The 12,340-nt window shown below is 45.2% G+C and overlaps 1 pseudogene; it reads right to left on the bottom strand.

Moving 5' to 3' along the window:
• LOC100420853 (nitric oxide synthase 2, inducible pseudogene) lies at positions 3,152–4,024 on the bottom strand (annotated as a pseudogene).

Genomic DNA, 12,340 nt, shown 5'->3' with positions numbered 1-12,340 from the left:
ATTTGAGAGGTCGAGGCGGGAGGTTCAGGTTCACTTGAGTCTAGAAGTCTGAGACCAGCCTGGGAAACCTAGGTGGACCCGGTCTCTAGAGAAAAGTCAAAGAAATTAGCCAGGCATGGTGGCGTGTGCCTATAGTCCCACCTAGTCAGGAGGCTGAGGCAGGAGGATTGCTGGAGCCCACGAGTTCCAGGAAGCAGTGAGCCATGATTGCACCACTGCACTCCAGCCTGGGTGACAGAGTGAGACTTTATCTCTTAAAAAAATTTAAGAAATTTAATGTGGGTACAGTTCTATTAACTAAATAATAATGTGAACTATTATCTAAGGTTATGAAGGCTAGAATTATCCCATTTTTGCCTAACTTCTCGTACCTGTCCCAAGATCCCACCTTGGACTCACCCTCTGCCTTCAGCTCACGTCTCTTCAGCTTCCTCCACATGGTCCAGCAAACACACACCTGGGCTGAATGGTAGAGCTGATCGCTCATACACAAAGGTAGACCGGTGGGCAGGGATTTTCAGACTTACACAGTCAATGAGTTTTCCTTGGTGTTCTGGAGAGCACCGTTTGAGAAACACTTTGACAGTGAATCTAGGCCTCAAGATCCATCAGCTGCTCTAGCTTGAATTTTGCTCAAGCTCAGTGAACACCTGCTCTGCCGGGTGCACGTGAAAGGGGCAAGGATGAGAAAGCTGTAGATAAAGAAGACAGGACGCAGGGGGTCTGTCTAAGCTCTATCCCCTGCCTTCAGCACTGAGGGATGAAATCCAACTCTTAGGGAACGGTGGCCACGTGCTGGGCCAGCCCCAGGCTCTCAGGATCTGACAGTGGGTGACGCAGAGCCAGGCCTTGCCCCTGGGGAGCTCTCCAGCATACACCTCCCTCTCCCCTCCCAGCGTGCCGCAAAGCAGGCGTCAACGCCATTGTTAATGCACGGAGGAGGAACCTGACTGTTAGACCTGGGTTTTCCAGGGTTGCACGGCTTCTGGGAGACGGATGTGACCCTGAGGACAGGGCACAGGCCAGTGTAATGCCAGGATGGAATGAGCTGTGATCTGTGCTGTATAGAGGCCTAGGCCAAGGTGGGACTGACGGATGACCAGGTCAGCCGGGTCACTGAAAACACTCTTGGGTCCTCACCTGCCGGTTCCCAGGAGTCCGGAACTGCCAGGAGAGTGGTGGCAGGTCCCCCATCCTCAGCTGGGTGGGCCTGGATAGAGCAGCAAGGCGAGGGCACATTTCCCTGGCCATTCCCTCCAGGCACAGCTGTGACCTGTTCATTCCAAATTTGTGGAAGTATTTCCACACACACACAACTGCAAATAGCAGTGGACGTGGTGAGAGGCGTTTGCACATGGGATAGGCAGGATTTTGGAGGCAGAGCCTCCAGGGCTTGCCGATGGGTTAGCTGCAGGGCTTGAGAGGGAACGGAGAATCCAGGATGATGTGTTCAAATCGGTCCATTCACCTCTTCCGTTCCACGCCTGTGCTGGGCACTGGGAGAGACAGATGCACACAGGAGCCCCGGCCGAGGGGAGGTGTGGGGGGAAGCCCAGAGTGTCTGGGCAGGGTAGGAAACCCAGAGCGTCTACTGGGAGCTGAAGGCTTAGGTCCACCTGGGTGCCGTCCAGGTTCTCTGCATGTAGAAGTATAGGCTGAGCTTCCCGGAGGAGGAGCAGCTGCTGTTGCTGGTGACCAGCACATTCAGGAACGGAGACTACTCTGTCAACAGACAGGGGGATGACCTGAGGTCTGGATGGTCTAGGGGGTGGTAGGGCCCAGGAGGACCCAGGAAAGGGTCTCGGGGATGCAGAACATCCTATGGAGGGCATTTGGGAGTCAGTGCTCAGGCCACTCCGGGTCACTCAGGTCATTTGCCGGCCCCTGTCATAATTATTGCCATATGAGAGTGCCACCCGTCCTATGACATATTTTATATATTTCTGTGAATGGCCTACTTGTTTGTATTTATGAATTTATGTTTAAAGGATGGGCAGGGGTGCTCGAGAGGTCCCCAGGAGTTTCCCTCTGGGGAGAGAGGGGCCCACCCCTTCCCAGCAGCCCTCTGAGCCCCCCGATCGCTTGGCCACAGCCTCTGCCTGGAGAAAGCATCCCCCTCGGAGATATATGGACATCAGAAGAAACCTTTCTCTGTCACCAGGACAAATCCTGTTCTTATTTGAACCAAGGCCAGTTTTCCTAATGAATGCAGGGAGGACAGCACAGATCAATGAAACCAGCAGATAATCCACAAGACTGTTTCCCAGAGCTGGGAGATTTCCTTCCCTGCCAACACTTTTCCTGAAAGGTCTTAAGAATGAGGCAAACAGTTTAAGTCTCTCTTGCACTGTTCTTTTAGTGAAAGAGTTCAATGAGGAAGGAGAGGAAGTGGAGCATATGCTTAGTTTCCAAGCTGGAAAAGTGGCCCATGGTTAACCAAGACTAGATGTAAAAGCACAGGTGGCCGCGGGTCCAGGTGAGTCGGTCCTACGATGGCACGGCTGCTAATGCCAGCAGATGCTCCTGTCCTCTCCTTTCAAGACTGACTTCTTCTGGTCTTTCATTCGTTAAAATAAAATTGACAGGGCATCATCCAAGAAGCTCTACACTTTCCCTTACTTGGATTTCAGACTCTAGATTCTGCTGAGATTTGAGCTTCATGGTGAACACATTCTTGTTGTGCTTGCTGCTGAGGGGTGTGGAGGACAGAGAGATGGTGAAATGGCAAAGTGGCTCTTGAGCATGGGTGGGGGAAGCCCCCACATATCTGAGTCAGTGCCACCTGGACACTACCCTTGGAGCATCCTGCTGAGGTGGCCATTCAGGTTTTCTTTCCTTTCCTTTTATTCCACTGTTTCTGAATCACAAATAAAGATCCAAGGCAAACAGCACATTCAGATCCCCAAGCTCTCCACCTCCAATGTGACCAGGGACGTGCACCACTTCAGGCTCATGCAGGACCCACAGCCTTTGGACCTCAGCTAAGGGACCTGCTTCTCTTCAGCACACGGGGCTTGTTTGTGTTGGGGTCTGAGCCCTGAGCGCATGGTCAAGGAGACCCCCAGGTCTTTCTGAACAGAGACAGCTGGCCTGGCGGCCTCCCTCTCACTGCATGCAAGAGTCTGTTAGGGCGGCTGTCTTGCTTCTGTGTGTTGGGAAATTCAATTTAGGTACCTAAAAATGAAAAGTCCCAGGACATCTCCATGGCTTGGGATCCACAGGAGAGCATCATTGATGCTGGGGACAATTTAAACATATAGAAACCCACAGGGCTACCTTAGACAGGGCACAGGGCACAGCACCCGGGGATGCAGAGTGGAAAGTTCACCACTACAGCCTGGAATTGCCTCTGTGATGCCTTCTTCATGACACTTGGCTGCCTTCGTGGCTGGAAGGCTGAGGCCCAGATCCCAACATGGCCACAGGCTAGCAGCTTGCTTCACCTTCCTGAACTGCAATTTCTCCATCTGAGCCTCTCTCCTAAGAGGAGTGTGCAGGGTCACTTAGCCCATATGGGCCAGAAACCCCACACGGTGCCAGGCACACAGTAGGGCCTCGGCAGATGCTGCCCCCTTCTGTCTCCACCACCCTCCTGGGGCTCCCTCCTGAAACAGCCTCCCTCAGCGCCTTGAGTCTTGCACCCTAACAGCCTCTTGCACGCAGTGAGAGGGAGGCCCCCAGGCCAGCTGTCTCTGTTCAGAAAGACCTGGGGGTCTCCTTGACCATGGGCTCAGGGCTCAGACCCCAACACAAACAAGCCCCGTGTGCTGAAGAGAAGCAAGTCCTTTAGCTGAGGTCCAAAGGCTGTGAGTCCTGCATGAGCCTGAAGTGGTGCAGGTGCCTGGTCACACTGGAGGTGTAGAGCTTGGGGATCTGAATGTGCTGTTTGCCTCGGACATGAAACATCTCACAGACTGCCTGGAAGAAGGTGGAGCAGACTGGGGTTAATGGTCAGCAGCAGCAGCATCCCCACCACTGGGGCTATCCCTTTTTAGGCCCTTACCATGGGCCAAACACTGAGCCGTGTGCTTCGTGTAACTTCTAAGCACGCTTACCTGATAGAGTGCCAGCAAAGACTCAAAGAGGTGCCTGGGCTTGGCACATAGTAGCTATTGCTACTATTATGAATGTTGTTTTGTCTTTGTTTTTGTTTTGAGACAGGGCCTCACTCTGTTGCCCAGGTTGGAGTACAGCAGTGCCATCATAGCTCACTGAAGCCTCAACCTCCCTGGGTTTGAGCAATCCTCCCACCTCAGCCTCCCAAGTAGCTGAGACTACAGGTGTGCGCCACCAAGCCCAGCCAATTTTTTGTATTTTCAGTAGAGACTGGTTTTGCCAAGTCGCCCAGGCTGGTTTCGAACTCTGGGGTTCAAGCAATCTGCCCACCTCAGCCTCCCAAAGTGCTGGCATTACAGGCGTGTGCCACTGCGCCCAGCCATTATGAATGTCAATATTGACATGATCTTGTATCCTTATGCCCACACTGGGAGAGGTCTGATTGTCCCCATGTTCCTGGTGTGGAACCACATGGAAGAGGCCTATGTTATCCCAACAGTGCAGAAGCACAGCCTGAGTCTCTTCTTTGGCTGAGCCAAGGGCGTGCTGGAGAGGCCTGACAGAAGAAGGAGCGGCCCTTGTGACCAGTGCCCTTTTGGTTCACAAGGAACTTCTCCTCTTGTTGAAGTGACTTGGCTGAGCTTGCTCCTTCTGCTTTGAGAGTCAAATATCAGGATCAAGACTTTAATTATCCCCAATTTACAGATGATGAAACCATATTGGGCAGGAAAGAAAGTCACCCCAGGAGAGCAAGTTGGACCTGAGCACTGGCTGAGGACAAAGGGGAATGATAATTTGGGATGTAACTTGTTAAGGGGTCTCACAAGTGTTCTTGTGATCCAGGTGTCGAGAGGATACAGCAGAAAGGTTGCCAGGGAGATGAGGGTAGGGTACACCACAAGAGTGGGAGAAATTAAAGAGAACACGCAACAAAGCCTTGGGACACTGGGAGGGGGATGGACCACCCAGTTTTGTGCTATGGGAGAAGAGAGCAAGAAAAGGAATCTGTGTTAAATCCCGACAGCCTGCATGAGAAGCAAATGCCCTTCATTTTCTTCATCAGCGGCGAGACTGGCATCCCTGCAGCTTTGGGAGACCATGCTAGTGTAGATGCCAGCTCACGCCAGCGGGCCTGACTGGGAGACCTTGGGCTGGGGTTCTGGTCTGGGGCTCCTAGGCCTGATGGGAGGAGAGTTCAGCCCCAGGTTTCCTGTACTTCAGCTCATATCCACACAATGGTAATTATTGAAATGAGAGACTCAAAAGAAGATGGAACGTGAACTTTTTTGTTGTCCCATGTGGACACCTGTGTTCGGTTTCCAGTTCTACCTTTGCTGTCTGTGTGTTCTTAAGTAACTCACTTAAACCTTTCTGAGTCTCATTTTCTTCATTTATAAAATAAAAGACGTAACATTTATGTCAGATATTGTCCTGAGGATTAAATGGGAGAATGAACAAGCCTCTTCTGCATTCCCCTGGCATCCAGTGGGTGGAGGCCAGAGAAGCTGCTAAACATCCTGCCAGGTGCAGGACAGCCCCCATCACAAAGAATTGACCGGATCCTGATGTCAGTAAGGCAGAATTGAGGATCCTTGGTGTGGGGGAAAAAGAATAAACTCAGAAGCTTGGCAGATCTCAGTTCAAACCCTGGTTGTATCACCTCTAGCTGAGTGACCTTAGGCAGGTCTGTGAACTCTCTGAGACTCGGCCTCCTCATCGGTAGAATGAGGTAGATAAAAATGCCAAGCTCGGCCGGGCGCGGTGGCTCACGCCTGTAATCCCAGCACTTTGGGAGGCCGAGGCGGGTGGATCATGAGGTCAGGAGATCGAGACCATCCTGGCTAACAAGGTGAAACCCCGTCTCTACTAAAAATACAAAAAATTAGCCGGGCGCGGTGGCGGGCGCCTGTGGTCCCAGCTACTCGGGAGGCTGAGGCAGGAGAATGGCGTGAACCCGGGAAGCGGAGCTTGCAGTGAGCCGAGATTGCGCCACTGCAGTCCGCAGTCCGGCCTGGGCGACAGAGCGAGACTCTGTCTCAAAAAAAAAAAAAAAAAAAAAAAATGCCAAGCTCACCCAGAAATAACCCCGTGCATATATGGTCAACAGATCTTTGACAAGGCCATGAAGGATATACAATGTAGATTCTTTTATTCCTTTACTTTCTTAATAGACTTGCTTTCACTGTACTGTAAAAAAAAAAAAAGGCACAATGTAGAAAGGAAACTCTCTTCAATGAATGGTGTTGGGGAAAGTGCATGAAAAAGAATGAAATTGCACACTTGTTTTACATCATATACCGAAAATTAGCTCAAAGTGGATTAAAGATTTAAATGTAATATCTGAAACCATGTAAATCCTGGAAGTAAACATAGGGAAAAATCTCCTCGACATTGGTCATAATTGGCAATATTTTTTTTGATGTAACACCAAAGCACAGGCAACAAAAGTGAAAATAAATAAATGGGACTACATCAATCTTAAAAGGTTTTACACAGCAAAGGAAACCATGACAAAATGAAAAGGCAACCTACGGGATGGAAGAAAATATTTGCGACCCATATATTTGATAAGGGGTTATTTGAAAAAATATAAGGAATTCACACAATTCAATAGCAAAAATTAATAAATACATGAATAACGCAATTAAAAATAGGCAAAGGACCCCAATGGACTTTTTTCCCCAAGGAAGATATACAAATGGCCAGCCAGCATATGAAAAGGTGCTCAACACCACTAATCATCAGAGAAATGCAAATCAAAACCACAGTGAGATATTGCCTCATAGGATAGGATGGCTCTTATAAAAAAACGACAAGAGATAACAAGTGTTGGCGAAAGCATAGAGGAAAGAGAACCCTTGTACACTGTTGGTTGGAATGTAAAGTGGTATAACCTTTACAGAAAACAGTATGGAGGTTCCTCAAAAAATTAGAAGCAGAACTACCATACGATTCAGCAATCAGGTTAGAACCTTGAAGAGAGATCTGCGCCCCATGTTTATTACAACACTATTCACAATACCCAAGATATGGAAACAGCCTAAGTGTCCAGCAACAGATGAATGGATAAATAAAACACATATAAACAATGGACTATTAGCCATTCAAAAGAAGAAACTCCTGTCCTGGATAAACCTGGAGGACATTACGCTAAGTGAAATAAGCCAGACACCGAAAGACAAGTTTTGTATGATCTCACTTATATGTGGGATCTAAGAGAGTCAAACTCATAAAAACAGATAGTAGAATGGTGGTTGCCAAGGGCTGGAGGTGGGGAAAATGGGAAGCTATTAATCAAAGGGTGTAAACTTTCAGTTATAAGATGAACAAATTCTGGAGATTTAATGTACAGCATAGGTGGTAATGGATGTAATAAATTTGATTGTGATAATTAGTACACAATATATACATATATGAAATCATCACATTGTATGCATTAAATATACACAATCCTTGTCAACTCAATATTTTTAAAAAAATGTTTAAAATGCCTAGGTCATAAGAATTCTGAGAATGAAATACAACAACATACATGAATGGACCTGCTACACAGAAGGTGCTAAATAGGTTTGTTTTGTTTTATTTTATTTCAACTCTGGCAGATGTAGACCTATTGGGAAAGAATATAGAATGCACTTGTGCACAAGGATTATCTATACGATGGTTAAATATCCTGCATACATGCCATGTCATTTCTACTCCTCAGTCAATGGATAATAAAAGCAGAACCAGCCTTCTGGTGGTCACAAAACATTTTGACATGAGAAAGGCTGATCATGAGCAATCTGGCAATGTACATCCCAGAGCGTGCATGCCCTTTGACCCACAGCTACCATGATGTCATGTCTAGCAATTAGTCCTAAGGAGATGATCAGAGATGTGTAAAGAGATTTCATTCTAACAGCATCCTCTGTAGTGGTATATGTCAGGGGCTGGTAAGCCATGTCCAGAGGAGCAGGCTGCATCTAGTCCACCACCTGTTTTTGTAAAGTTTATCAGAACACAGTCATGCCCATTCATTTACAAATTGTGTATGGCTTCTTTCCCTGCAACAGCAGAGTTGAGTGTTGCAACAGAAACCTATGGCCTGCAGAGTTTAAAATATCTACCCTTTGGCCTTTTATAAAAAAAGTTTACTGATTCCTGGTGAGTATATTAAAAAGTTAGGAAAACCTAAATCTTCCAGAGTGGAGAATTAGAAAGTAAGACGTGTTGTATATAAGACAGACAGTTTGTGTGTGCGTTTATTTATAAATATATTATTCTGAAATAATGTTGTCGACATATGTTGCAGGTCTTAAAAATTGGTCAATATATAGTGTTAATCAAAAAATGGCAAATTGTAAAATGTAGACAGAATGTGATTGTGTATTTTGTGCATACACCAACAGAAAAGGGTGCTAGGAAACCTGTGGACCAACATACTAAGTGTGGCTCTTTTGATGGTGGTATCATGGATTTTTAAAAATCTTCTTGGTTTTCTGTAGATTCTGACTTTCCTGTAATGAGTATGAATAAGTATGTATTTCTTGAGAAATGTGAAAATAACTTTATCTTCCCAGATTTCTCATAATTGAAAATGTTGGAATAAATGGTCCTGGGACAGATCTTTCCATTGAGAAGGGCAGAAGGGAAACCCTGGGGATTCAGCTGGGTTTCTGTTGCATTTCTGGTAACACACAGTTGTGAAAAGCCAGTGTTGGCCGTTCCCCAGGACAGTCTGGGGTAGAGGAGGTCAGGATTTAACTACTTGAGGGTCCGGGGAACAGATGTGGCCACAGTCCTTCCTGACTCACTGTTTTCCCTTCCACAGTCCCCGTCTTCTCTTCACTGATGCACATAGATGCCTGACCAGAGGAGAGATTTAGTTTTCGTCCAAGGATTATCTGTTATGTTGCAGTTCTGAAATTCCCATAACGTTTAGGCTAGAACACAAGTGATTTCATTATCTCCAATGTGTATGGCTTGATAGAAATAGATTCCATTATGTAGCACCTTAAATCCAGATAAAACATAAGGAATTTCTATTCCATGTTTGTATGATCAATGTTAATAATCTAAGAAAATCTAAAAAGAAGCTACTTCCTCTATTACAGTATGAAATAAATATGCTGAATGATTTGTTTTGGGGGGTGGAATGGAAAGGTATAAGACTGAGGAGGGTGCCTGTGGGAACAGTGATAGGAATCCTTTCTTAAGGGTTGGGTTTTACATACGTCTTTTAAAATAGATGATATCATTAATAAATTATCTGTGGGCATCATGAAAAAAGTGTATAACGTACAACTTTATGAGCTTGACAGTTGGTGAAAACTTTTCTGTTTAAAATTTTATTTGGCCCTCCCCAAAAGAAATGTTTATTTATGAGTATTAGGATAGTTCCAGCAGTAATGCCTCAAAAGAACCAGGAGGTATAGTGTTGTCTAAAATGTGGACTCAGGAGCCAGACTGCCTGGCTGTGCAACTAGCCTTGTCACTTCCTAGATATGTGGCAAGTTAATTAACTTCTCAGTGTTCTTATCTGTAGAATGGGGATAATCCTAATATACATCTCAGGGTTATATTACAAATTTAAAAAGTTAATTTTGTAAAGGACTTAGAATGATATCTGGCAAATAAAAGTGTTCATAAAAGTAAACCCTATAAAAGTGTTTACTCATTAAATACAATAATCTGAAACCATTAGTAATTTAAACATTTGTGGCTGACTTGGTAATATTTATGAAAATAAATACTGTATTTATAATCTTTGACCTTATTTGACTCCTAGGAATTTATTGTCCAGCAAACATTTTCACAGGCAGACAAAAATATTACTATAAAATCAGGTTTATTACACCAATCTGTGCAAAAGGAAAAAATAGACAATTAAAATGGCCATCAAAAGGAGTATTGATTAAGTGAATGATAGTAAATCCATTCAATAGTAATCATATTATCCAAAAAGAATGAGGCATAGTCATGTGATGTGGGAAGATCCACGGCTAATGTTAAACGGTAAATGATACAAACTGTTATGCCCAATAAAATACTTTCTGTGAGAGAATATATGTTAATTTATGCAAGTGGCGCCAATGTGGAGGGTTTATGCTAATTTCATTATACCTCACAGACAGACCTGGGCTCTCCCACTCATTTTCTATGTGGCCTGGGGTAAGTCATTTAACTGCTGGAAGCCTCAGCTTCTTCATCTGTCAGGCAGTGATACCCTGACTACTCTGCAGGGTAACTCTGAGATTTCAACGTGATCATCTCAGAATATGCCTGGCAAACAGTAGGAGCTCAGAACTTGATGTTTTTTTCCTACAGCAACTGCTGTAGGGGATAGCAGCTAATGCAAGAGGTTGGTAAATCCTTATATATATTAAATATTGTAGAAACATAACTACATGCTACTATTTTTTCAAACCCTCCCCTCACCCTTTTTTTTCCCCTGAGACAGAGTCTCACTCTGTTGCCCAGGCTGGAGTGCAGTGGCGCCATCTCGGCTTGGCTCACTGCAACCTCTGACTCCCGGGTTCAAGCGATTCTTGTGCCTCAGTCTCCCAAGTAGCTGGGATTACAGGCATGTGCCACCATGCCCACCTAATTTTTTTGGTATTTTTAATAGAGATGGGGTTTCTCCATGTTGGCCAGGCAGGTCTCCAGCTCCTGGCCTCAAGTGATCTGCCTGTCTCGGCCCCCCAAAATGCCGGGTCAAACCTCTTATATCCAGTAAAACAGCCTCACTGGGTCAATGGATATCATGTGGCTGCCTAACATTTTTACTTTATAAAAGGTCTTCCTGAGGCCATTTGAAAGTATGGATCAAAACACTTTATGAACAGGGCCACAGGTTTGCATGAGGCTTGTCAGTGGACCTCCAGGATGAAGACCAAAGTGACTGTGCAATTTCTAGTGGAATAATTTACACTTAAGATCTTATTATCAAAAGACTGCTGTGAGGTAGGAATTCTTAACCCCCATTTGCAGAAACAGACTTTGCCTGACACCACAGAGCTAGGAAAAAGTGGGCATAAGATCCTCATCAAGTCTGACTTCCAAAAGAAGATTCAAAAAGAAACCTCCTTGCTACCCGCCAAATCTCTGTAGAGCCAGCCATGTTCACACATGAAACAGGACAATGACAATAGCACCAGGAATAGCTACTCCTGGTCAGATGCCCTCATGAGGTCAACTCCGCGGGATGGGGACACCGGGCCCTGCTTAGGGGAAAGGAAGGGGGTTTGTAGAGGAAGCCCAGCCAGCCAAGCAACCAGAGATGGGAAAAACCTATTGGGAAGAACTTGCTTGCTCTAGCTGGGCTTTGCAAAGAACAGGAAAAGATGAGTCTGCACAGACAGAAATGGTCTAGAATGGCTGAATGTTTCATGTAGAAATTTTATTTTATGATTAATACACTCGTGCCATTTCTTGGAACCACTTGCTTGTTTAATTCTAGTCTATCAAGTGATAATTTTGTTGATATTTAGAGGCTCCTCAGTTAATTTCTGTGGGATTTTTGGTTATATTTAATAAGGAAAATAATATGAAATGTCTAAGAAAAAAAGAAACAAAGTCAACTATTCCTGAGAATGTTTAAATTTATTGAAGTACACTTGTTAATTGTTAGTATAGAACCTACATTTCATGATAGAAAACCTTGGACTTGCCAGTTGTAGCTGCTGGAATGAGGTGTTTGTCCAGTACATCCAGAACGTCGCCACAGATTAACTTTAGCTCAGTCTCAACCTGAAAAAATAAAAATAAATTTAAAAAATCAGATCGTTGAAGTCTAGAAATTCTGTAAATTATTACACATTCTATCTACCTCTGGTTTTGAGGAAGAGAGCTTAGTGTTACAGAGAATTCATTTCCCTCTCCAAACTCCCTTCCTCCCTTTTGACACAAAAGCAGAGAAAAGCTGCCTGTCGGTTATCAAAAGTATCTTTTCCTTCCTGCCTGCAATTAAGTGCTACACACACACCACCCCCCACCCCAATACCCCCTCACAGTCCAACTGCAGAATCACCAATGACTGAAACTAAACACTGATGCTACTTGGTAAACGCTGGTCAATTACATGAATCTTTCACAAAGTAGCAACTATTGTGTCCATTTACTGGGGAAAACAGAAGCTAAGACATTTGCTCAAAGGTCATCCCCTTAAAAGAACGTAATAAGCAGAGCTAGGATTTGAAACCAGGCAGGGTGCAAGGGACAGAACAAAATTCAAACCCAGGCAGTTTGCCTTCAGTACTTACATTCCTAACAAGGTTCAACAGGCAATGCCTTTAGTGGAAGA

This window comes from Homo sapiens, chromosome 17 (genome assembly GCF_000001405.40).
Source record: "Homo sapiens chromosome 17, GRCh38.p14 Primary Assembly".
Classification (NCBI taxonomy): domain Eukaryota; kingdom Metazoa; phylum Chordata; class Mammalia; order Primates; family Hominidae; genus Homo; species Homo sapiens.
This window is presented reverse-complemented; position numbering and strand designations above follow the sequence as displayed.